Source organism: Homo sapiens, chromosome 7 (genome assembly GCF_000001405.40).
Source record: "Homo sapiens chromosome 7, GRCh38.p14 Primary Assembly".
NCBI lineage: Eukaryota > Metazoa > Chordata > Mammalia > Primates > Hominidae > Homo > Homo sapiens.
The window spans coordinates 102,177,793-102,204,087 of record NC_000007.14 but is presented as its reverse complement, the minus strand read 5'-3'; the positions used below and the strand labels follow the sequence as shown (position 1 = coordinate 102,204,087).

At 50.7% G+C, this 26,295-nt stretch overlaps 1 protein-coding gene and 1 non-coding gene across 26 annotated transcripts in view, besides 2 other annotated features; one reads left to right on the top strand and one right to left on the bottom strand.

The window, feature by feature from the left end:
- The window catches only part of CUX1 (cut like homeobox 1), a 467,952-nt gene that overhangs the window by 79,871 nt on the left and 361,786 nt on the right, over positions 1–26,295 (bottom strand). For 4 of the 25 annotated variants that reach the window (NM_001913.5, NM_001202545.3, NM_001202544.3 and 1 more), the window contains 4 exons: positions 25,431–25,619; positions 14,217–14,275; positions 10,198–10,246; positions 8,485–8,581 (listed from right to left, as the gene is read on the bottom strand). In NM_001913.5, coding sequence (NP_001904.2) covers positions 8,485–8,581; positions 10,198–10,246; positions 14,217–14,275; positions 25,431–25,619 — 394 coding nt within the window. Of the gene's footprint in view, positions 1–1,883; positions 2,729–3,915; positions 4,018–5,220; positions 5,287–6,782; positions 7,455–8,484; positions 8,582–10,197; positions 10,247–14,216; positions 14,276–25,430; positions 25,620–26,295 lie in introns of all 25 variants that reach the window. The other 21 variants (NM_001202543.2, NM_181552.4, XM_047419908.1 and 18 more) reach the window with 14 other exon arrangements.
- Positions 4,437–5,636: an enhancer, noted in NCBI's record as "CDK7 strongly-dependent group 2 enhancer chr7:101841732-101842931 (GRCh37/hg19 assembly coordinates)". NCBI's record gives its function as "activates an origin of replication core promoter dependent on BRD2, BRD4, P300/CBP, MED14 and CDK7 cofactors, with strong dependence on CDK7, by STARR-seq in HCT116 cells {active_cell/tissue: HCT116}" and the evidence as "EXISTENCE:reporter gene assay evidence [ECO:0000049][PMID:35650434]".
- On the top strand, positions 9,883–10,012 carry LOC124900244 (small nucleolar RNA SNORA48). The gene has a single exon (XR_007060659.1). It is a non-coding gene; the product is annotated as a small nucleolar RNA SNORA48 (small nucleolar RNA).
- Positions 25,031–25,531: an enhancer, noted in NCBI's record as "H3K4me1 hESC enhancer chr7:101821837-101822337 (GRCh37/hg19 assembly coordinates)". NCBI's record gives its function as "activates a minimal SCP1, AML or CMV promoter by ChIP-STARR-seq in naive H9 embryonic stem cells {active_cell/tissue: H9 hESC(naive)}" and the evidence as "EXISTENCE:reporter gene assay evidence [ECO:0000049][PMID:30033119]".

Below are 26,295 nucleotides of genomic sequence, written 5' to 3'. Positions count from 1 at the left end.
GTCACCCTGACACCCCGCGGAGGAGGTGTGTACAAGCACCTTGCTCTTCACTTGGTGGCACCGGGAAAGGCTAAGGTTCCAGGGACAAGATCCCTCCAGAGGTGGGGCAGTGGGTGCCGGTGGGACTGGCGAAGCTGGTGTCCTCTGCAAACGCTGAGCCAGGCCAGCATTTAGAAAGGTCTGCTTGTTCTGACCACATCCTGATCAAAGGTGGGGGCCCAGAGGTGAGCTGGTGGGACCTGGGGAGCCGGCCTGGGAGTGACATTCCGCCGCAGATGATTGCCGAGTTGCGTGTACACACCCGAGTTTTCTGACGCTCCCATATGGCCATACATATGTATAGGCACAAACACCCCCCACAGGACACAGATGCCGCCCTGGGATATTTAGGGGCTGCATCCGATCACTCTTTTGAAAAGTTCTCAAGTTCCAGAATAAAACTGCACTCACGGGCCAAACAAGTTCAATGTTATTAAGTCTCTGCTAAATTTAAGGCATGAGCACGAATGTCTATTTCAATGTTCTCAAATGGTATTTTTACAACACTGAACTAGAAATCTCAAGGGACTTGAAATACTCATCCTCATTTCTAGTCGCCCCCCTTCACCTTTTGCAAAATCAGGGCAAAGTTCGCCATCGGACACCACCGGGATTCACAGCACAGCATACGGCAAACACTGAGTGGAAGGCGGGGTGGGGAGTGCGGGGACGGCGCCATGCAGGGACCCTGGCTTGGCAGGGGAGGGGGTGGGATTTGTCCCCTGCTGATCCAGCCACGTGCTCCCTCAGGAAGGTGCCTTTTAGGGGAGAGGGGTGCTTCTCCTTCTATTCAGCACTCCGTTATTTAATCTAAAATGGTAGGGGGTTGGGAGGCCAAGGCAGGCAGATCACTTGAGGTCAGGAGACCAGCCTGGCCAACATGGTGAAACCCTGACTCGACTAAAAATAGAAAAATTAGCTGGGTGTGGTGGTGGGCACTCGTAATCCCAGCTACTCAGGAGGCTGAAGCAGGAGAATCGCTTGAACCCAGGAGGCAGAGGTTGCAGTGAGCCGAGATAGCGTCACTGCACTCTAGCATGGGCGACAGAGTGAGACGCCATCTCAAAAAATAAATAAATAAAATGATACTAGGACATGATGTTTATTTTAGATTTGGCAGGCACGGTTAACCCTCATTCTCCTGAATCTCAGTGACCAGGAAAGTGCCAAGAACAGAAAGGCCTAGAAGCTCGTCCATGCACGATTACACTTTCCTGAGCCAGGGAAGGATGATAGGGAAACACGGGCCACCCTGCTTGGGCCATCCCCAAGCTGTGTGTCCCCGGGCAGGTTGCTTGACCTCTCTGACTGAACAATATCCAAGAGTTACACAGAAAGGAACAATAATGCTCTCTGCAGCTTTTTCTAGTAAGTCCCTTTTGGCTCTCTGCGTACTGGTGGTCCCTCTGTGTGATCAGATGGGATTTTTTTTGGCCAAGGAAGCCTGCAGGGGTGCCTCTCAGCTCCCCTTGGCAGCAAAAGCTGGATGTGGACTCGGCTGCCGGTCAGCTTGGGGCAAGTAGTTAACGTCCCCAAGCCTTGGTGTCCTTCCCTGTCAATTGGGGATTTTACCATCCACTTCCCAGCGCCAAGTGAGGGGTCGAAAGGGCAGCATGCAGGTGAAAGGCTGAGCCTAGAACCTGGCTGCAGTCGGGGCTCGGCAAATGGGATCGGGGCTGCAATGTTCACCAGCCGCACCTTGGAAGTCTGGGAGCAGAGGATGCCTTACGCTCTGCTCTTGGGTGAATTGAAATGGGTGAGGGTCACAGGCTGCGGGATAGATACTTGGTCCTCAGCAAGGAGAAGAGATGGGAGAACCAAAGCCCCCAGAGCAGATCCCTTACCTTCTCCCCGAAGATTCTCTGGCAGATGCCGTTCTTGGCCAGCTTTTCCTTAACCTGCCGGGTGAGCTCGATGGTGTCCACCTCCTGGTACATGTAGACCTCGTACTGCTCGGGGGTCAGCGGGGGGACCGAGGGCTTGGTGGGCTTGGACATGGGCACGATCGGGGAGGATGGCAGGGGGCTGTTCTGTGGTGTCTCGCTGCGGCTGGCCCCGGTCAGACTCAGCTCTGAGCTCTGGGAGTATGGGGACTCAGCGCTGGGCCACTCCTTCCAGTACTCTGACGACGAGGGTCCCTGGAGCTGACTGCGCTCGGCCCGAGGCTGGCTGCCACCTCCGCTGCCACCGCTGCCCTTCTCTTTCCCGCCGCCCGTTTCTTCGGCCTTGGCCTCCTCGGAGGAGGCGGCATTTCTTCTCTCCGGCTGCACCGCGCTCCACCAGTGGTCCTTCCAGGCACCGCTGCGGCCCACCTCATTTTTCACCTGTCTCAGGACCCCTTGTGCACAATCGGCTGCTCCCTGGGGGTCCAGCCCGGGGGCGTCCTGGGCCTCCTTTTTGAGGGCCGGGGGGTTCGGCAGAGCAGAGGCACCGGCCTCAGGAGCTGCGGAGGGCTTCTTCAGGGAGATGGCGAGAGGTGGGTAGCTGGACACGGTGGGCATGGGCGAGGTGGACAGAAGCTTGGGGGTGAGGATGGTGATGTCACTCTGGGACAGTGGTGCCTGCTTTAAGGCAGGGTCGAGGGCAGCCTGCTGGGCCTCCATCTCCCGGCGGGCTTGCTGCAGGATGGAGCGGATGGCGTCATCAGAGTTCCCGCTGCCGGATGCGGAGGAAGGCTGGGCCGGCTCTGCTGCATGGAGAAACAGGGGTGAGAGTGTGGCAGGGCGGCCCCCTTCAGCTGGGGACATGCTTCTCATCCTAACTTGACCTACTGCAAAGTGTGGGTTATTTGGGAGAACCACACTGTGTATTTCCCCAGCATGGCCCCTGTCAGTGAAACATTCAGGCATCTTGTCTCAACCAAGGACCAGGGCCTGACACTACAGCTTGATGACCTGGTGGCCTTTGGTATACACACAGATGTAGAGGGTAATAAAGGGGGTGTCAGTGAAAGTGCTCCCCGACCTGCCCTCCTGGGGCTCCTTTCCCCGAGAATTTTTTTTTTTTTTTTTTTTTTTTTTTTTAGCGACAGGATCTCGCTGTTGTCCAGGCTGGAGCGCAGTGGCACGATCACGGCTCACTGTACCCACCCTCCACCTCCCTGGCTCAAGCAATCCTCCCAGCTCAGCCTCCCAAGTAGCTGGGACCACAGGTGCATGCCACCATGCCTGGCTAGTGTTTTAAGAGACAAGGTCTCTCACTGTGTTGCATAGGCTGGTCTTAAACTCCTGAACTCAAGTCATCCTCCCCCATCAGCTTCCCAAAATGCCAGGATTGCAGGTGTGAGCCACCGCGCCTGACCTCTGATAATTTTTATACTTGGTATTCATTTTCCTGTGCTATATTCTGAAATGCAAGTGGTTCTGTCAAAGTTAAGGAGCGTAATTTCTGTGAATAATTACAACTAGGGGCCAGGCGCGGTGGCTCACACCTGTAATCCCAGCACCGTGGGAGGCCGAGGTGGGAGGATCACTGGAGGTCAGGAGTTCGAGACCAGCCTGGCCGACATGGTAAAACCCCGTCTCTACTAAAAACACAAATATCATGGGCATGGTGGCACATGTCTATAGTCCCAGCTACTCGGGAGACTGAGGCAGGAGAATCGCTTAAACCCGGGAGGCAGAGGTTGCAGTGAGCTGAGATCGTGCCACTGCACTCCAGCACAGGCAACAGAGAGAGACTGCATCTCAAAAAAAAAGGTAACTATTAGGCAAATACAGATCACACAGACCTGCTTCTCTCTACGTGCCTAAATGCTTGAGAACAGGCATTCATTATTGTTTAAAAAAAAAATAGTTAATTACTGCTGACCAGAGCACTCATGACAATTCTCTTAATTAAGTTTGAAGACAGTGGATGAAGAAATGGAAGCTGTACCAGTTTTCTGCACTTGGAGCTCCCTCTTGGCTTGCTCTAGGATGGACTTGATGGCTTCATCAGAGCCAGTCTCCGAGGCTCGGATCCGGGTGGTGATGTTACCTGTGGGGAGAAGTTGCGCCAATGACATCAAACCCAAACCCCGGACAAAAATCAGCGCTGCGCGAAGACGTCATTCTGATATATAGCCCCGGGTGGGGGCTGGTGACACAAGGAGGCAGATGTGGCCTCCCAGTGGCCTGTGTTTGCTGTGAGTGCAACTTCACAGCGACACCGGGCAGGAGGGATTTCCTGCTCATTTGACCTTACGGTCAATGTTACTCTGCCAAAGCCGGACACCACCCGTGGGTTAGTACCCGGGAGAACCGATCATTTAATCCATATATATAAAAGGCGAGTGATTAAAAGGCAATGTTTCTCATGAGTCACTTAGAAGCAACTGCTGTGGCTTGGGACTGACTCTCCTCGGGGTTAGATGTTTATTGGATGCTGGGGTCCCACACAGGATAAACGGAAAAGGAGGGCAGAGGGTTTGAGGCTGATTGTCTATCAATCATTCAGAGGCACAGGGTGAAGAAAGGCTTAACTTAAAAAATTGTTTGCACCTATTATCACATAATATCTTTTTAAAATTTACATACGAGGAAAGGAGCCTGCAGAAATTCCTAAGTGGGGAGGATGGATTCTTTCGGCCACATGGTGATGTTTTGTGCAGGCACACGTGCCGACGAAATGAGGCTACTATGGCCCAGGGGCTGGCCCCAGCTCTTTCGGGAAGCCACCCGGATAGTTTAATTTCTTACTACCTTCCTAAATAGGAACCACTGCATTCAAAACAAGTATACCACCATTTAAAAACAAGTATGCCACCGGGACGATGTGGGATGCGTCCGTTCCATAGGACCTTGAGTGTGTTTCCGAGTTAAAAATACGAGGAAGCAGCAGTATTTAATTTGACGGGTCACCTGACTTTTCTCAGAGCAACCGCTGTTATTTTTTCAACTGCGTCTGAGAAAAACGGGGGACCGGGTAATTAGGATCTGAAGTGGGCTGGGATTCAGACTCGGGGGGCTTAGCTTAGCAATGCCTCTTCTCACCCCCGCCTGTGCTTGGGAGAGGGCAGGCAGCTCGGGAGGAAGGGGCTGGGTGTGCTTGAACCCGTGCCTTGTTTTATACTTACTAGCTGTTTTTCCATCAGGTTCCAGGCCAGAATCACACTGCACAGTTTTAACCCAAATACACAGCTAAGGACATGCTGCTTCCCTAGGTGACTGACTGCAAAGAAAACGCCTGCCTGCAACATACCTTCAGACCCATTTCTTCGTTTCGGTACTTCCTGAAATAGTCTGTTCAGGCTCTGGCCTGGATTCTCTGTTGAAAAACAAGTGTGGTAAGAACAAAACAATCAGGGGAATGGTGGTGTTGACGATATGGGCTGTGTGACATGAAATCTGAGCCGCCTGTCACTAAAGAAAGGGCTCAGGGCTGCCTGTGCAACTCGGGAGTTTCTAGAATCTTCTGAGAGGCCCTTCCCTGGCTGACCGGCCCGCAGAGGCCGTGGCTCTGCTGCAAAAGGAGATGGGGGAAATCTAAGTAGCGACCTACGGCATTGAGGCCAGGGAGGTCCATGGGAGGGAGGACTGCCTTGAAGGAGGATCACCCGCCAGCCCCCAGAACAAAGCTCGCATTAATCATCCAAAGACATTCAATTTCGGTTAACATCCTCATAAAACACTGCATTTTCTTGGTGCAAATTGATGCTGTTCAAAACATCTCCCTGCTCTGTTTGAGTCTAAATTTCAGGGTGTTTCAAACATGTCTGATGAAATGACCTCTCAATAGCTCTGTTGATGTGGCACATTGATCCCCTGGTCTTAAACAGAAAAGGAACTTTCTTTTTTGTTTTTTTATTTGAGGCAGGTTCTCACTCTGTTGCCCAGACTGGAGTGCAGTGGCTCAATCATGGCTCACTGCAGCCTCCACCTCCTGGGCTCAAGCCATCCTCCTGCCTTAGCCTCTCAAGTAGCTGGGACCACAGGTACACGCCACCACGCCCAGCTAACCTTTTGATTTTTTTGTAGATCAAAAGATTACAAAATATATGTTGCCCAGGCTGGTCTTGAACTCCTGGACTCAAGCGATCCATCCACCTCAGCCTCCCAAACTGCTGGAATTATAGGCGTGAGCTACTGTGCCCGGCTGGGATTTTTTGAAATTATGAATGTGACTGACATTTTATCTTTTTACGGAGGGTGGGGTAGAAAGGGTGCTTAAATAAAACTTTTGTGTATTTTACTCAAGCCAGGCCTGTTTTACTCATAATGCTAAACAAATCACTAATGGACCGTGAACAATGTAGGGAAGGTGGCCATGGGACACGCCCTCTTCTGCGGGGTGGGAAGAGGGGAGGTGTCATCTGTGATGTGTTCTCCCTACAGAACCAGCTTTGCATGAGGATCGAGCCCAGTCAACGTTGCTGCTATGGGGCTGGAGGGGACTTAAGGGCTCCTCCCAAAAGTGAGACCAGCACCCAAGGCCAATTGGACCCGCGGCCACTAAGCATACGGAGACGCTATACATCATGTAATGCAATTCCCTCTGATACGATCTCTAGTATTGAAATACTATAGGGTTTCCTAAGTATGGAGTGCTGAGTGCGTTTCAAAGGCCAGATCTCCCAAATCTAACAGCCTTAACTCATGCCGGGCCACCCTTGAGCTCTGGACGTGGCAGAAGCAAAGAGAACTTTACCTGATGTGATGCACAAATGTTTCATCACGCACACAGACACACGCACGCATGCACACACACATGTGCAACTCTGTGACGGGCTCGCACGCTGGCGCCACCCAACGCCAGTCTCTCACCTCTTTGTCTGCCTTGGATGCTACGGAGGGCCAGGATGTTCTGCTCATCGGAGAGGAACTGTTTCATCTTGTGAAATGGCTCCTTGCCACGAACAGTCAGTTTATTCCATGGCTTGGGCCGGGCCAGAATCTCGCTCACGGACCCTTGAGACAGTCCCAACACATAATGTCCGAAAATACGTTGTCCGATATTGTGCTTAATCAGCTGCTCTTTGACCTGCCGGGCGATTTCTGCAGTGTCCATCTCCTCGCCCTCGGAGACGCTCCCAGCACTTTCTGACTGGCTGGGGGATGGGGCCATGCCATTGACATCTGGGCTTTGTTGTAATGGACTTTGGGAAGATATGGAGTTTGTGCTGTATGGACCTGTTGAAAAAATCATGCTTGTGCTTCCGGCTTCCTGCATAGCCTTGGAGTAGAAGGACTGCATTAGCTGCCGCTGGAGAAGAGAGTTTAGTGCAAATTTTCCTGTAGAAGCCAGGGGTAGGCTGGGGCTTGCCAGGGATGAGCTGAAAAAGTCTTGACTTAACCCCGCTGGTGAGAACTGGTGTGTACCATTAGTATTGGAAGCCTGCTCCCCCGGGTTGCGGGGCAACTGAGAAGGAGGGGGGGCCGGCAAAGATCCCGGGCGCCGACTTTCAGGCTGGTCTTTCCCTTTCCTCCTGGCTGACCCTACAAGGAAGGGCAAACAGAATGCATTATGGGGGATTCCAAAGGGGGAAAAAAAAACCAAGACCAAAATGCAAAAGTTTGCCCCCGCAAAAGGGAAAACAAAAAAAAGTGCAGGTTTTTTTTACAAGGGCCAATGAGGTGGGTTGGTTTGTTTTCCGATTAAATTTGTAAGTCAGCCAAACGAGGCTTCCCAAAACAAGCAACATGCATTCATGTTTGCGCCTTTCTTGTACGTTGCAGCCTGGAGAGTCCCCTTGACATAGACTCAAACTCCTAGCGTGACAAGGAGCTGGTGACACACACAGGGAAGAGTTGACGGGTCGCGGGCCTCTTACTGGGCCCGCTGGCCCCGGCCGGAGGAGCAGCAAACACTGACATTTTAGGACCAATGGATTCGCTCGCACCTCTTGCTCTGAGGCGATGCACCGTACCGAGCCCCCTCGATGTGGAGGCGCGCGCCCGTTTTGAGAATGCAATACCATTAGAGCCCGAGACACCTGTACGCGTTTTACCAGCTGCCCAAACCAGAAGCACAGTCAAGTGACGCCACCATTTGGGGGATGAGCCAAGAAAGGCTAAGGATGGGGGACGCGTCCCCAGGGGAAACCTGACCAAGGAAGAAAAACCTCTACTGGACCCGGCAGGCCCGGGGCTGTCCCTGAAAACACCACCAGAGCGAGGCTGGGTTCACACTGCCCCTGGCCTCTGTGCAGCACAACCAGACACAGATCAGAAAGGCCGACGTCCTCCGAGCTGTCCCTCCCGGGGATTCCAGCCGCACTGCCCCTAACTGACCTCCGCAGAGCCTGTGCGGCTGGCCCGTCTCGACATCCAGCTTTAAGCAGGGCGGGGAAGGGAAGGGAGGAGCGGTGAGGAGGAGGGCACCCAACACGCGTTAGTCAAAGGTTCTCGTCAACCGGCGCTTCTCTGGCCATGCATCTGTCCAGACTCACGATTCACCTTCCTCGTCCTCGACCGACCCCTGGAAGCGAACCAACCACCGCACACGCGCGAAGCCCGGCCAACCTACCGCTCAGGTCGCTGTTGGAGATGCGCAGCGCGGCGTTCTCGGACTGCAGCGAGCGGTTCTTCTCCAGCAACAGCACCTCCAGGGGCTTGGCCGCATCCTAGAAGGGGCAGAGCGGGGGTCTCACTGCGGGGCCGGCCACTCACCCGCTCCCGGGGCCACCAGGCCTGGAGCCCTGCCTCCCTCCATCTGTCCGCGTTCCCACCCAGCTCTCGATCTGATTAGGAAGTGGGCTGCGGACAGCTGATTTCCCCCCAAGTCGTTTAACACACGTGGAAAACAAGTTCCCTTTAGAAAGAATGGATTCTAGTTGAAGTCATTTTCCTTCTTAGACTTCCACAGCTCCTAAAAAAATTAATTATTCTCTCATCTGTTCTCAAACTCAAGCGACCTGAGCCCGTGCCTCATTTGGCCATAAGACTGGCTGCCAAGCCACAAACGTCTGTCCGAACGTTACTGTAAAGGGAACTTTTCTTTTTTTTTTTTTTTTGCCAGCCACAAAGATGTTGGCTGTCTTCTGGGCATCAGGAGTCAGATTCCACTTAGGATGTCAATTTTATTTGATTTGATTTTTTAATTTTTTGAGATGGAGTCTCACTCTGTCGCCCAGGCTGGAGTGCAGTGGCATGATCTTGGCTCACTGTACCCTCTGGCTCCTGGGTTCAAGTGATTCTCCTTCCTCAGCCTCCCAAGTAGCTGGGATTACAGACGTGCGCCACCACGCTCAGCTAATTTTTTATATTTTTGGCAGAGATAGGGTTTCACCATATTGGCCAGGCTGGTCTCAAATGCCTGACCTCAAGTGATCCACCTACCTCAGCCTCCCAAAGTGCTGGGATTACAGGAGTGAGCCACCATGCTTGGTCTGGGATGTCAATTTTAATTGGCCACCAGATGACCCTGGGCCACAGTCATCCTTCCCTTGTACCTTCTCTACTGAGGCAGCATGTAACTAAAGTTCCTAAACCAATCCATTTTTGGCTGCTCTTTAATGCAATTAAAAAAAAAATAGTCAGTCTCAATCTGTTGTCCAGGCTGGAGTGCAGTGGTGCGATCATAGCTCACTATAGCCTTGAACTACTGGGCTCAAGCGATCTTCCTGCCTCAGCCTCCCAAGTAGCTGGGACCACGGGTATATGTCACAGTACTTGGCTATTTTTTTTTTTTTTAATAGCAACATGGTCTTGCTATATTGCCCAGGCTGGTCTCAAATTCCTGGCCTCAAAGCGATCCTCCTGTCTTGGCCTCCCAAAGTGCTGGGATTACAGGCATGAGCTACTGAGCCTGGCCTTCTTAAACACAATCTGAAATTGTTTTTTATTTATGTTCTTAGTACCTGCTGAAGTGAAATCACAATTTCACTTCAGTTACCAGTTTGGAAAACACTAGCTTTTCTCTTTTTGCCTCTTTTTGTTAAAGATAATTTGCTTTTTGGTAGTGCCCATCTCCTATCAGTCAGGGATGAAGCAATCCCTTGTTCATCCCCAGCTTGGCTTTTGATCTATGCCTGGTTCATGCCTTGGACACATGGAAAAAAAGGAGACAAAAAAAAAAAGATAATTTGCTTCAACTTGGTTAAATGTTCTTGAAGTATGACTCATCGGCTGTAAGTGAGAGGTCTCGTAGAAACAGTGGATCATGGGATATGCCGGAGGGACCAGTGGTAACCAGCAGCGGGGCTGATGCTAGTGCTGACCATTGAGGTGAGACACGTACCTGTGTCCCAGCGCCCTCGGACGGTGCAAACTCCATGGACTTCAGAATGCTGCAAGAGCACAACAGAGGGGTTATTTTATTTATTTTTTGAGACAGAGTCTCGTTCTGTCACCCAGGCTAGAGTGCAGTGGCGCGATATTGGCTCACTGCAACCTCTGCCCAGGTTCAAGCGATTCTCCTACCTCAGCCTCCCGAGTAGCTGGGATTACAGGCATGTGCCATCATGCCCAGCTAATTTTTGTATTTCTAGTAGAGACGGGGTTTCACCACGTTGGCCAGGCTAGTCTCGAACTCCTGACCTCAAGTGATCCACCCGCCTCAGCCTCCCAAAGTGTTGGTATTACAGGCATGAGCCACCAGAGTGATTATTTTCTACTTATACCTTTGACAACAGCCACATTAATAAGCATTAACATTACAATTTCCTGCTCTCCAGGAACCGAAGAACTGTCAACTTTAACAACTTCCCTGGCAGTAATAGAATCTGATAATGTCTCTAGAATAACTATTCAACTAGCAGTTGGCTGGCAAAAGTTTCTTGCCTAGCATGTAAATCATTCCATATGGAATCACACCAGGTCTGTTCAGAGTATAATTTTAAAGTTTAATACAGACATAACATTGTTGCAAGTGGAATGTATTTGTAAAGCTTAAAGGGAAGGAAAAAGTTGTAAGGAGAAGCCAGAGAGAGGGGAACCCACCAGGGCGGCCACTGCCCACACCTCACTCCTAACTGGCACCTACCTGGGGACCAGGGGACATAGGCAAAGAGCAACCTCCTAGACTTGGATGACTCAGAAGCCAGGTGGGCAGACCTTCTCTGCAGCCCCAGGTTGGGGAAGGAGTGCAATGACAAAGATGTGGCAAGAGAAGGTGACTTCTCCCTCCCTTGTTCTCAATGGCACTGAAAAGGGCCGCACCCTGATCACTACGGTCTCTGGGCTGTCTCAGTGAGTCCAGGTCCCCAGGATTATTACTGTTTCTTGAGTTCCTTTTGCTGTGGATGTCCCTTTTTTGCTGAGTTTACCAGGGAGAAGAGGGGAAGTGAGGCTATGTGGCTTTGAAGGAGCTGCAAGTGTTTCTTTGAAATACCAAGGATGGAAGAGAGAGACCCAGAGCAGGCTGGCTGGACCGTGAGATTTACGACTCGCAGGTGCAGAGTCAACCGGACCTTCGCCATGTTCCTGCAGCCACAATTTCGGCCTCTGTCCCCCTAGTGTGAGCCACCACACCTGGATAATTTATTTTTAGTAGAGACGGTTTTGGCCAAGCTGGTTTCCTGACCTCAGGTGATCTGTCGGCCTCCCAAAGTGCTGGGATTACAGATGTGAGCCACTGCGCCCAGCTGAAAGGGGTTTCTTAAGATGGAATCCTGTCCTTCGTTTCCTATTTTCTTTAGGATTATGTAATAAAAGACCACGTGGCTCTTTATCTATTCTACAGATCTTTACCAGCAGCCTGCTATCCGCTTGTTGCCGTGGGGAATCAGAACCACTCCTGGTCCGTACTCCAGGAAATTTACAGGCCATTACAGGTAATAGGCAAGACTCCAAGTGGTCCATTAAGACAGAACTTGTGAGGACCCCAGCAGGAGGGATCTTGATGGATTGGAGACCACGTCTCAGTGTCATGATGAACAAGCATTGGAGAAGGGCCCTGAAGGGACAGGGTGTCTTGTGCTGCAGTGCATGAGGATCTGAGGTCAGCATCCCCTGTTGCGTGGGGGTGAGGAAGTGGAAATGGGACGATGCTGAGAAGGGGACGCGGGCAAGAGCTCAAGAGCACAGCTGGTTCACCAGGAAGTGGAAAACTAGGAGCGCATTTGGGCAAAGAAGCCACCTGAGTGGGGCTTCCAGATGTGCACATGGTGGTGGGGCCTGTCATGTGCGGACGCAACAGAAAGAGTTAGCAGAAATGCAGTGACAAGCGGGGCTGGTGTGGCAGCCCTTCAGTGGGGGTAGGGGCAGCCTGTGGTCCGGCAGGCTGTGGATGAGAGGGAGTAGAACGGTATGTGTTGCAGGCTGGAGCCTGGAAGCCTCAGCTCCCAGGGGATGAAGTGAACGTGGGGGTTGGGGGAGAAGAGGAGGAGGAGGAGGAGCAAGAGGAAGAAGAAGAGGAAGAGGAAGAAAGAAGAAGAGGAGGAGGAAGAAAGAAGAAGAGAGGAAGAAAGAAGAAGACAACGAAGACGACAATGAAGACGACGACTAACTCCCAGGGTGAGGCTGGGCAAAGGCCTTCGCAGCAGTTTCTCTGGCTCAAAATTAAAAGGCCCAATTTCTTTTTCTTTTTGGAAGAGGGAAGAAGAGGGAAAGGAAGGAAAGAATGGGATAGGAGAGGCAGGTAGAGAAGGTTAACCAGGTAATGTTTAATAATAAGTTACATGTAATCCCGGCACTTTGGGAGGCTGAGGTGGGTGGATCACCTGAGGTCGGGAGATTGAGACCAGCCTGACCAACATGGAGAAACCCCATCTCTACCAAAAATACAAAATTAGCCCGGGGTGGTGGCTCATGCCCGTAATCCCAGCTACTTGTGAGGCTGAGGCAGGAGAATCGCTTGAACTCGGGAGGCGGAGGTTGCGGTGAGCCGAGATAGCACCATTGCACTCCAGCCTGGGCAACAAGAGCTAAACTCTGTCAAATAAATAAATAAGTAAGCAAGCAAGTAAGTAAGTTACAGAGGCTGGAACTGTTAGAGGGATGTAGGGGTCTGTCCGAGGAGGTGCCGGCAGAGGCTTTGCAGCTGGAGAGGGGATGAGACCGCTCAGGGGGAGAGCATGGTGGGGACAGGGACTACCAGGGCCAGCAGACGCCAGGGAGGCTGGGGGTCCCAGGCGAGAGAAGGCAGCTGGTCATGGAAGTGAGATGGTTCAAGAGGATGCCCGAGGAGCTTTTCTTAGCAGAATGGAATTAACAACACAAAGAAAACGTGGTGAGTGGGTGTAGGCTCATCTTAAAAGGAGAAATGGAAAATAGCAGCAAGAGAGAAAGGGGCTGATGGGACAGCAGGAGGGGCAGGAAGGAAGGGACTCAAGGTCTAGGCAGAGGGGGCAGCCTGCAGAGATGGGAGGTGGCACCCAAGACCAGAGGCGGGAGTCTGTCCCTAGCAGAGGGCTAGGGCATCTGTGGATAGTGGTTGGGGTAACAGTGACAAGGGCAGGGAGGAACCCCTGAGGAAGCCTCGAACCAGCAGAGCTCCAGCCGCGAGAAGCACGGGGGACCTGTGGGGCTGGTCACCATGCCCTAGGCAACCTTCGTTTGCAGTGCTTAATAACCTAGGAGTGAGGCGGGCATGCCAGTGGGAAGGCTTGGAATGGCTGACGATCCAGGGGAGCTGTATGAACGTAGAGGGTCTGACCACAGGCTCCAGGCTTGCAGGGGAGGTCAGTGAGCCTGGAGCATTATGGATGTGGGGGGACAGGTAAAGACCAGGACCTGGGAGCTCCAGAGTGCCAAAGCAGGCTCAGGGTGAGGAGGCAGAGGTGGGGGCTGCTGGCCGAGAAAGGAACTTTGAAGCTTGAGAACTGAGAATGCCATCATTAGCCCTGAAAAGATGATAAGCTTTCGGCTACAGCCTCACAGATGGAGAATAGAGTTTGGAAGACAGAGTTCCTGAGTCCAGGAGGCCGGGGCAGCGTGAGGCCATATGCCCACCTTCAACCCGAAAACATTTCCCTCCTGTGCTTTGTTTCTGTTTGGGGAATTTATAGTTGCAAAACAAGGTCATATTTGATCATTTCTGTAAAAGCCCTATGCCCCTGATTCCATACATTCTGGAATACCTGCAATGCACAGCTTTTAGCAAAAGTCCAAAGAATTCAGGGACAGGCCCAAGGGCAAACGCCCACAGTGGTGGGTAGCCCAGGACACCATGCAGTGGTAGAACTCTGGCTGCATTTACGGGCATCTGCTGAGCCAGAGGGCAGGGGGCCAAGGCTTCCTGCCACCAGCCTGGCATTGTTAGCAGATGGCCCTAATGCGCCCCAGCGTGTGAGGGGCCACAGGGCTCTCCGTACTTACTTCAGCTCTTTCTTCACCTCTTCATAGTCAGCCTGGCCTTTGAGTTTTTCTTCCAGTTGCTGAAAACAGAGAAGAATTTGATCAGTGGCCATGCCTGACAACAGGTCGACGGACTTCACCGACGGCATTCACTGCGGAACAGCCAGCTGTGCCTGAGAGGGGAAGCCAGCCCTTGCGAATGGAGTCAACGGTGCTGGGGCCATCTTTTGTCCCTCACGCTCCTGGCCTGCCCAGTGTGAGTGCGTGCCCAGGCACGGCAAAGTGTGTAGGGATGCTGTAAGGTTGTAACGTACAACTTAGCAAAAGCAGAATGAAGGGTGTGGTGGCTCACGCCTGTAATTCCAGCACTTTGGGAGGCTGAGGTGGGAGGACTGCCTGAGCCCGGGAGTTGGAGGGTGCAGTGAGCTATGATTGTGCTGCTGCACTCCAGCCTGGGTGACAGAGTGAGGAGTGGAGACCCTACCTCTTTTTTTTTTAAAAAAAAAAAAAAAAAAGCATCCCCCCCCGCACCCAAAAAAAAGAAGGAAGAATCTTTGCAGAGGTGAAAAGCAGAGGAGGAAAAGTGTACTTTGTAGGAAGTGCCATGAAACAGCAAACAGGAGGACAGGAGGAGAGGCTTTCCTGGTGTCTGAAAAGCAGCGTGTGGTTTTAAACAAAATATATTAGGCTGAGGGACTCATACAGCTGGTTGTCAACACCTTTGGGAGGACCTCTACTAACGAGAGACACAGCCCTTTTGTATTGAGAGTAGGCATCAGATAGGCATCAGGGCAAAGGCCTTTCCACTCCTGAACCCCTGGATGCTGGGGTTTTAGGAGCAGGGACCTGTTCAGTCGAGTGCTTGGTGGCTTCCCTGACAGCCAGCTGGTCTGAGTCCTGCGGGGAGGGCCCTGACCGAGATGCTGCTCCCTCTCAGGGGCCTAGGGGAGGGATGGCACATTTCCAAAGTATGATGACGCTCCAGTGGGCTCCAGAAAGGTCTGTGAGCTCACTGGGGATTGATGTGGCCTGTTTCCTTTTTTTCCTTTTTAATCCTTTTTTTTTTTTTTTTTTGGTGGAGACAGACTCTCGCTCTGTTGCCTAGGCTGGAGTGCAGTAGCGTGATCTTGGCTTCGCTCACTGCAACCTCCGCCTCCCAAGTTCAAGCAATTTTCCTGCCTTAGCCTCCCCAGTAGCTGAGATTACAGGCATGCATCACCACTCCTGGCTACTTTTTTTTGTGTTTTTAGTAGAGACGGGGTTTTGTCATGTTGGCCAGGCTGGTCTCGAACTCCCGACCCCAGGTGACCCTCTCGCCTCAGCTTCCCAAAGTGCTGGGATTACAGGTGTGAGCCACCCCACCCAGCCTGATGTGGCCGTTTCTGCCCACAGCTCTGCAGGGCTTTCTTGTGAGAGGAGCCATTGCTGTAGGGTGGTCGTAGGGGGTGCTTTCTTCTCTGAAGGTGTTTTTGGACTAGTTTGCTTTTGATCTTTTCTAAAGGGAGCTCCTTGGAGGAAATGAGGCAACTCTACATAAAACAAGAATATGGAGGGGCGGTGCCGGGAGGGTGTTCTGGCCATTCAGCATGTTTCCAAGCTAGAGGTGAACAATTGTCATTTCCGGTAACTTCCCCTCTACAGGGTTTCTAGGTATTATGCTTCTTGTTCTTCTTCTTCTTTTTTTTTTTAAAAAAGAGACAGGATCTTGCTCTGTCACCCAGGCTGGAGTGCAGTGGTGCGATCATAGCTCACTACAGCCTCCAACTCCTGGGCTCAAGTGATCCTCCTGCCTCAGCCTCCTGAGTAGCTGGAACTACAGATGCACATCACCACACCCGGTTATTTTTTAAGAGAGGGGGTCTTGCTATGTTGCCCAGGCTGGTCTCAAACTCCTGAGCTCAAGTGATTCTCCCACTTCAGCCTCCCAAAGTGTTGGAATTACAGGCGTGAGCCACCATGCCTGTAGGTGCCCTTGACTAGCCATGGCTAAGACCACAGTTTAAAGCCAACTGAGAACATTCTAGACTTTGGGGAGGAGATGGCACCATCCAAATCCCAACCTGCCCGATGTTTTAAAAATTCAGGGCTGGGCGCGGTGGCTGACGCCTGTAATCCCAGCACTTTGGGAGGCCAAGGTGGGTGGATCATGAGGTCAGGAGATTGAGACCATCCTGGCTAACATGGTGAAACCCCGTCTCTACTAAAAAAAAAAAAAAAATACAAAAAATTAGCCAGGTGTGGTCTAAATTTAGCGTGCATAAACGTGGTCATATCCAGAGAATAGGAGCCGGCTGGGAATAAGGCAGACAGAGGGAGGAGCACACAGAGGGTCTCAGAGCCTGGCATGGCACAGACCAAGAAGGCCGACAGCCTGAGCCTGGAACTCGAGTCTGTCACTTCTGACCTGGGTGCCTATGGACAAGTTAATAAACTTCTCATCTGTAAAATGGGAATAACAGCAATTACTCAAGGGTTTGCACAAAGCAAAGAACCAGTTCAGATGTTGGCAACTCTGGGCCCTCAACAGTGGGACTCTTTGTTTTTTTTTTTAAAGTTATTTTGTAGTGACGAGGTCACACTATGTTGCCCAGGCTGGTCTTGAACTCCTGGGCTCAAGTGATCCTCCTGCTTTGGCCTCTCAAAGTGCCGAGATTCCAGGTTCCTGGCTTGATATTGGGACTCTTAGCACTGCTAAGTCCCATTACAGTTTCTGTCTAGGGGCACGGCTGCAGGTCTTCTTTGAAGGCCTGTGATTGGCCCTAATTGGAAGGTTTTAGGAGTGGAATCCATGTATAATCATGCACCGCATAACGCTTTGGTCAACAAAGGCTGCCTAAGTCCCATAAGAGTCTTTTTTTTTTGAGATGGAGTCTCGCTCTGTTGCCCAGGCTGGAGTGCAGTGGCACGATCTTGGCTCACTGCAACCTCTGCCTCCCAGGTTCAAGCAATTCTCTTGCCTCAGCTTCCCAAGTAGCTAGGATTACAGGTGCCTGCAAAATGTCTGGCTAATTTTTCTATTTTTAGTAGAGATGAAGTTTCACAATGTTGGCCAGGCTGGTCTCGAACTCCTAACACTAAGTGATCCACTCGCCTCGGCCTCCCAAAGTGTGGGATTATAGGCGTGTGCCACCACGCCTGGCCTGAGTCCCGTAAGATTCTAATGGAACATACAGAGAAAGTTGACATACGGCCCTTTATAAAGGCACTGCAGATCAAGCAAGGGAAATGACTAATGCTCAGTAATGGTGCTGGGACATTTGGTTTTCTGTATGAAAAATAGGCATAAATAAAAAAAAATATATATATATATATATACTATCTAGGTTTGTGCAAGTACACACTATGATTGCACAACAACGCATTCACCTATTGACGCATTTCTCAGAACACAGCCTCATTGTTAAGTGACACACGACTGTATTTTAGTTGGCCGTGAGTTTTGCTGAGAGCTAAACAGCTTCCATTGAGGGTTCTGCCATCTACCTAGGGGCAGTTGAACTAGGAAGTCCCCAAGATCTCTTCTGTAAACCTTCTATGACGTTTTCTGTCTTGGGCAGACAAGCTGGATGGAGCCTAGGGGAGGCTGCTTGGCGACGCTTCTCCCAACTGCCGGAGCGCCTGTAACCTGGTCCCATGGATGTCTCCATTCTAGTGACCCTGCTGTGAGTGCCACATCTCAAAACCTGCAGACGCAGGGCTCCCATTGACTTCCAATGCTGAAAATGCCCAGTGTGGAAAAAAGACTAACTGTCCTCAGTGCGGTTCTTCGATCAGAAACTCCTTGTTGGGTTCCCAGAAAGCCTGGTTTCGAAGACTCTGACCCTGGGACGGGCGACAGGCACGCCAGTTTCCCAATGTCTCTGAAGACGCACTCCTCCTGTCAGGTCACGCTACCGCTGGCCGCGTGGTATGCTAGACCTGCGCTTATTCCTAGCATTTCATACGCTATCTGATTTCATGATTGCAAAACTTTTGCAGATGGGTCTGACTACCCAAAGAAAGAAAAAAATCTCTGGGGTCCTACAGTGCAGATCTTGACAGAGCTGAGGCCGGTCCTACGTGCCTGCAGGGAGGAAGTGAGATGCCGGAGAGGCCAGGATGAGCCGGGGGCTCTCTGCAAACCTGGACTCCAGAGTCCGACAGATCCTGGCTCCACCACGTACTTGCAGGGTGAACCTAGATAAGACTCAACATCTTGGGTCAGGTGTGGTAGCTCGCTTGAGCATAGGAGTTCAAGATAAGCACGACAACATAGCAAGACCCCGTCTCTACCAAAAAAAAAAAACAAAAAAAAAACCCCAAAACATTAGCTGGGTGTGTTAGCATGTGCCGGCAGTCCCAGCTACTCAGGAGGCTGGGGCAGGAGGATCACTTGAGTCTGGGAGGTGGAGGCTCCAGTGAGCTGTGATGGTGCCACTCCACCCCAGGCAAAAGAGTGAGACCCTGTCTCTAAATACATAAATAAATCAACCAATCAACCAACCAACCAACCTACCCACCCAGACTTGACTTCTCCAAGCCTCAGTTTCCTTATCTATAAAATGGGGATCATGTTTATATGTTACAGTGCTTTGATGAGGATTAAAAAAATATTGGGTACTTAGAGCTTAGTACAGTGTGGGCACATGGCAAAGTGCTCTGTAAATGGTGGTTAGCACTGTTACTGTCCTTGTTACTACAATTACTACATCCCTGCTAGGTGGGGTTGAATCTGGCTACATTGGATCTGAAGAGAGTCTCTGGTTCTGTTTCTCCAGGGGCTCTGTTCGTGAAGGTCTGCGGATCTCAGCCTGTCACCTCCCAGGGTCCCCGCTATTCTGTAGCAGAGCCACAGAGAAAGAGCACATGTGCCCTGGAGTGGCTCCCGCTGTCAAGGGTAACTTCATGTCCAAGGCTGTGGAAAGAGAATCTGGGAACTGGTCATCTTCCTGAAAAATGCACTTGTCTGGCTGGGTGCAGTGAGTCATGCCTTGAATCCCAGCACTTTGGGAGGCCGAGGCAGGAGGATTGCTTGAGCCTAGGAGTTCAAGACCAGCAGGGGCAACATAGAGAGACCCTGTCTCTACAAAAATTTAAAAATTAACTGGGTGTGGTGGTGCACACCTGTAGTTCCAGCTACTTGGGAGGCTAAAGTGGGAGGATCACTTGAGCCCTGGAGGTTGAGGCTGCAGTGAATTATGATCACGCCACTGTACTCCATCCTGGGGCAAAAGAGCAAGATCCTGTCTTTAAAAATAAAATAAAATAAAATGCATGAATCTAAGGAACACACGTGGGCTTTACACAGACAGGTAAGAAAAGGCCAAGTGTCAGAGACCTGGCTGCCAACCTGGTCCTACCCTAGCTGACTGTGACCTTGGATAACCTTAGCCTGTTTGGGCCTCACATTTCTCATCTGAAGAATGGGGAGATTCAGAATGAATATGGGTTTTCAAAGGACAGTGGTGAGATGTAGGATGATCAAGTGCCAATCAAACACGCCTGTTGTAATAATACGATGGAAAAGATACACGGAGCCCACATGGCTCCAGAAACCTAGCTGGTGCTCCCCAGCTGGGTCCTGAAATGCCAGAAGAATTGTCTATTTGAAGCTCTTAAAAGCCTGGCTAAGACTTAAATGATAATAAACTTTACAATGCCAACTATTTTGGCTTTAGCAAATTAGGTGTTTAATCTATAAACTATGTCTATCTACTGCAGGGCATGGTGTTTCACGCCTGTAACCCCAGCACTAGGGGAGACTGAGGTGGGAGGATCACTTGAGCCCAGGAGTTCGACACCAGCCTGGGCAACATAGCAAGACCCCATCTCTACAAAAGATATAAAAATTCGCCGGGTGTGGTGGCGTGTGCCTGTAGTCCCGACTACTTGGGAGGCTGAGGTGGGAGGATTCCTTGAGCCAGGGAGGTCGAGGCTACAGTGAGCTATGATGGTGCCACTGCACTCCAGCCTGGGCAACAGAGTGAGACCCTGTCTCAAAAAAACAGCAAAGGGGCCTCTGGCAGGTCTGACTAAGGCAGAGACCCAGGGAAAGGTCATGTCTTCCAGGTTGCACAGCCAGTGGTCAAGGTGACAATATCTCTTTTCCATAAAATTCTGACCGTGGGGGCAGAGTGGCATCTGCAGTGCAGATAAATGGGGCCAGGCTCCACATGGTGCTGTCTGACTGGCTCAGGTTAGAGTTGGTGTGGGAGTCTTCGGTCTCACGGGGACCCCCTGGCCCAGGGCAGGGGTCTGAGGCACAGACCCTTAGCTGACACTGCATCTCTGGGGTCCAGGCCTGGGCAGCATGCACCTCCTCTTCTACTGGACAAGGACTCTCCATAGATAAGGACATGTGTCTCCATGGTTCCTCAGGCAGAGGCAGCAGGCATGGAGATTTAGGTTCTGCTGATGCTGGGAGTTGGGGAGGAGCCCAAGGATACTGTGGACTCTGGACGGTGAGTCCAAATCTCCAAAGCAATGGGGTGGGTGCTGTGTATGCTCCAATGATCCTCTCTCCCCAGCCTCCCAGGTAGCTGGGACAACGGGCATGTGCCACCACTCTGGCTCATTAAAAAAAAAAAAATTAAGAGATGGGGCCGGGCGCGATGGCTCACGCCTGTAATCCCAGCACTCTGGGAGGCTGAGGCGGGCAGATGACCTGAGGTCAGGAGCTCGTGACCAGCCTGGCCAACATGGTGAAACCCTGTCTCTACTAAAAATACAAAAAATTAGCTGGTCTTGAACTCCTGGGCTCCGAGAATGCAAGATGAAAAGAGAGACACCCAAGGCCAGAGGGACGGTTTTATACCACCTCTTTTATACCACCTCAGTGCCCCGAGGGACACAGCATCATCCCATAGTGTCTCCATGGGACCCATCAGAACCTCAGGAGTGGGGAAAGAGAAGCAGTTTGGAAAAGACCCCTAGGTGATTCTAACGCATGTGACCATCCACCCAGTGGGAAGCACTGATCTTTAACGCATCTCTAGAAAAATATAATTTCTCCTTCTGGGAGACTGGTGTTCTTTTAGTTAGCCTTTCTTATAAATATCTATTTTAAATCGAAGCTATTGGTAGCATTATCTTCTGTGCTGTAGCAAGTACAGTGCAGTTGACTAGCTAATTATACTGCTTCTATATTAAAGCATTCCAACAGAAGACCACAGAATAGAGAGTTATCAAAAAGCAGCCTTGTCACGGCGGTCGGGCTATTTCATTAATTGCAAAAACAGTTCTTCTTTACAAGTGGCACTATGCTTAAGCACTTGTCAGATTAGGCAGGAGGAAACATCTTCCACTTTTGCGTCTGTTTCCATGCCTAATTAAAGGTTAGCGATGTCCCATGACACACGTGGATAGCGGGGCATTTATGGGGAGCTTTGCTTGAAAAAGTAGAGCCCTGGACAGGACAGACTCGAAGATGTGCAGCTGTCTGGTATCCTTGTGAAATAACAAATCAAATTTGAGGGAAGAGGAGAAATCTCAGTGGCAGAAAGATGGAGAATTTCAATGGGTTAGAGAAAGAAAACCAATTAGTCAGTCCTCTGATATATCCAACTACAGAAAGTATCATTGGAAAGTATGGGTGGAAACAACTCAGTGAACTCAGGACAAAAGATTCTGCCCAATAAGCCTTCTGCTTATGGGAAATGCCCTCTCCCCAAGTGACTGTCACCAAACACCCTGGCACATGTCTCAAAGATCAAGGACCTGCTGCCAAGTGTTCATGGGAAAACCACCTGCAACTCCAAACAGCTGAGCCCAGAGCTGGGAGCTTGGAGCCTCCTCTCCCAAACAGCAACCTGATTCAAGGCCCCATCGTGTGTCCGAGGGTCCCCCGTAAGACATGAAAGAGGGGAAGGGGACAGGAAGAAGAAAGAAAGAAAGCAGCTCCGTGGTAAGTAAAGGTGAGTTCTTTGAGTAGCCAAGACTGCGGGGGCAGGGTTCCCCATGGCAAAAGCATCAGGTTGCCAATTTGCCAAGTCTTATTCATAAAAATATTTTCCTAATAATTGTATTCCTTTAGGTTATATTTGAGGCTATACATTATACACATTAGGAAAAACAAAAAGCCCTCAGAACATATCTCATTCAATTAACCTTATTCCTTTGGGGCGAGAGGAAACCCTGGTTTGGTGAAGTCAGATGCTTTCTGCATGTGGGTTTCGTATCAGGACAATCTGGCAACAAGGAGTTAAGATAATTAAAATCAGAAGTCTTGTTACTAGAAGATATGTTTTGATTATTAGATTAGATGAAGATAAGGTAGCAATGATTTTGGAAGAAGTATCGCTGAATTGTTTCATTAACTGCACGGTATTAAACAATTCCCCCAAGATACGGATAACGAACATTAATTTGCAAAACCGCGTTTCATTTTTTTGTGAAGGCAAACATTGAAACCTTAACTGATTTGGAAGAAATTGCTCTATAATAAAAAATGTGAGGTCTACAGCTTTGCTCTCTTGTAGCCGGTGTGTATCTGAGTCACGCCCTTTAACTTGACAATGGAGAGAAAGGCAAATTATCTCATCATAATGCCGTTGCTGGGGTCAGAAATGGCTGTAACATGAGAAAATGAGATTAAATGTAGAAATAAAAACTGAATCCTGGTACTCATTGGGTAAGCTGATGAGAGAGGAAGAAACGGCGGTGACAAAATAAATGACCTGGTTCGCGGTGGCTCACACCTGCAATTCCAGCATTTGGGAGGCGGAGGCGGGTGGATCACCTGAGATCGGGAATTTGAGACCAGCCTGACCAACACGGAGAAATCCCATCTCTACTAAAAATACAAAATTATCCGGAAGTGGTGGCTCATGCCTGTAATCCCAGCTACTCAGGAGGCAGAGGCAGGAGAATCACTTGAACATGGGAGGCAGAGGTTGCAGTGAGTGGAGATGGCGCCATCGCACCCTAGCCTGGGCAACAGAACGAAATTCCGTCTCAAATAAAATAAAATAAAATAAAATAAAATAAAATAAAATACAATAAAATAAAATAAAATAAAAATTTAAAAAAAACGACCTGGCTGAGGACAGACAGAACCAGGTTTCAACCATTTCCCCAAAGTCGGCAGGACTGTCTCCTCCAAGGGACCCGGCGCTGGGCAGTTCTCAGTGAATGGGTGAAATTCACCCCAAAGAGGCAGAAGAAAGGAGTGAGGGAGGGTCGTGGGAGCCATCAGCATAGGCAATAGATTGCTGGAAACTTAGTCTTGGTATAAATTTGGTCATGTGTCAAAAAGAAAATTTCAATTAAAAAAAAAAAAAAAGACATTGGGCCAGGTGCAGCGGCTCATGCCTATAATCCCAAAGTGTTTTGGGAGCCGAGGTGGGAGAATTGCTTGAGCCCAGGCGTCCCAGACCAGCCTGGGGAACACAGTGAAATCCCATCTCCACAAAAAATTAAAAAACTAGCTGGGTGTGGTGGGGCATGTCTTTGGTCCCAGGGTCCCAGTTACTTGGGAGGCTGAGGCAAGGAGAATCGCTTGAGCCCGAGACTTCGAGGTTGCCGTGAACTATGATCCTGTCACTGCACTCCAGTCTGGGCCAGTGAGTGAGACTCCGTTTCAAAAAAAAAAAAAAAAAAAAGGCAGTGGCTCACGCCTGTAATCCCAGCACTTTGGGAGGCCGAGGCTGGTGATCACCTGAGGTCAGGAGTTTGAGACTAGACTGGCCAACATGGTGAAACCCCGCCTCTACTAAAAATATAAAAGTTAGTCTGGCATGGTGGCGCGTGACTGTAGTTCAGTTACTCAGGAGGCTGAGGCAGGAGAATTGCTTGAATCCAGGAGGCGGAGGTTGCAGTGAGCCAAGACTGCGCCATTGCATTCCAGTCTCGGCGACAAAAGCGAAAATCCGTCTCAAAAACAACAACAACAACAACAACGACAAAACACAATGGACCTAAGTACATCCTAGGACTACTTCATACCAGAAAAGGTTTCCTTTAAATGTTCACAATGAACCCTGACCCACTTTATTCATACAATGAATATACTTTACAGCCACTCATTCCCTCACCCACCCAACATGGAGGTACCGGGTTGGGGAAGGAATGGGCCTGAACGGGCAGCCCCCGGGCAGAGCAGGGAACCCCTGGCCTGGGGCTGAAGCCCTGCCCTGAAGGTCCTGCCTTCTTCGCTGTCAAGACAGACAACTCCGAGAGTCTCCCCTGGCTCTGAAGCCTGTGAATCAAGGGTCCCAGGACCCTCTTCAAATTACACTTGCTTCAACGGATCATAAATACCTAAAGTATAATCATTACTTTTTAATATGTGGAAAAAGCTCTGGGTTCTGCGTCTGGGATAGAAATTTATGGAAAAGCCAAGAGTGCCTAGTGGGAGGGAGCCTAGACTGAAGCAGCACCTGGACAGGGGCCACTGAGGGAAAAGGTGCTTGGACAAGAGAATGTCCCTTAGAAGGTCAGATGTGACTTCCATGGACCTCTGGGGTTTCATTTGGCTCATGCACCGGAAGTGCTGGAGTTATAGTACACCAGCTCCTCCTGTAGGGGTATCCTCAGAAAGCTAGGATGCCCTGCAAAACTCAGTTAAAGAGCCGGGTGCAGAGGCTCAGACCTGTAATCTCAGCACTTTGGCAACCTGAGGTGGACAGATCACCTGAGGTCAGGAGCTCAAGACCAGCCTGGCCAATGTGGCGAAACCCCATCTCTACTAAAAATACAAAAATTAGCTGGGTGTGGTGGCAGGCGCCTGTAGTCCCAGCTACTCAGGAGGCTGAGGCAGGAGAATCGCTTGAACCTGGGAGGTGGAGGTTGCTGTGAGCCCAGATCATGCCATTGCACTCCAGCTTGTGTGACAAGAATGAAACTCTGTCTCAAAAATAAATGAATGAATAAATAAATAAACAAATAAGCCGGGCATGGTGATGCACGCCTGTGATCCCAGCTACATGGGAGGCTGAGGCAGGAGAATCACTTGAACCTGGGAGGCGGAGGCTGCAGTGAGCCGAGATTGCACCACCGTGCTCTAGCCTGGGCAACAGAGCGAGACTCCGACTCCAAAAAAAAAGAGGGAAATGCTGTTTACACAAGGGCTGATGCCAGGGTTTAACATCCAGTCTCCCTGCCATGGACTCCGGGACTCTGCTTGGTGCTACTTTACAGAGGTTCAAGGTTGCCACACTTGCTATCAAGTCCAGAAAGGCAGAGGGTGTGTGTGTGCGCGTGTGTCCAGCCATCCGCCCTGCCTCCTCGGGCCACCCCCGGGCCCCGCAGCCCCCTTACTTTGAGTGTGCTGTTTTTGGCGCTCAGCTGCTGCTCAAGCTGTGAGATCTGGCTGGCCGAATTCTCCCGCAGCTTGGTGAGGCTGGCCTGGAGTCTCTGCACGTCCTCCACCAGCTGTGCGATCTCCCGCTCCTTGGCGGCCAACTCAACTTCTAGGCTGGAGCGGGTCAGCACCTCTATGGCCTGCTCCTGGGGAGGAGAAAAGAGATGACAAAACTGCGCTGGCCTTGAGGCGGGTGCTCGAGGCTACCTGTGCTGGCAACTGAGACAGAAGCTGCACAGATGTCAGTGTGTGGATGGTGATGGCAGGATGTCACTTCTTGCCCTTGCTTGCACTTCCCCTATGCAACCTTCCTCCCCCTGTGGTTAGCTGCCACCTCGATTCATTCACTGGACAAATATGTACTGAGTGCCTACCATGTACCAACCATATAGCAGTGAATCAAAGAAAGTCCAGGCTGGGTGCAATGGCTCACGCCTGTAATCCCAGCACTTTGGGAGGCCAAGGTGGGTGGATGACCTTAGGTCAGGAGGTCATGACCAGCCTGGCCAACATGGTGAAACCCCGTCTCTACTAAAAATACAAAAATTAGCTGGGCTAATTATAGGCACGTGGTGGTGACCTGTAATCCCAGCTACTCGGGAGGCTGAGGAGGAGAATCACTTGAACTCGGGAGAAGAAGGTTGCGCTGAGCTGAGATTGTACCACTGCACTTCAGCCTGGGCAAAGGAATGAGACTCTGTCTCAAAAAAACAAAAAAAAACAGGAGAAAAGTCCCTGTCTTCCCAGGGCTTACAGCCCAGCAGGGATGCGGCAGGATGAGTGAGATGCAGAAAATACACTTATTAGTAATGAAAAGTGTGC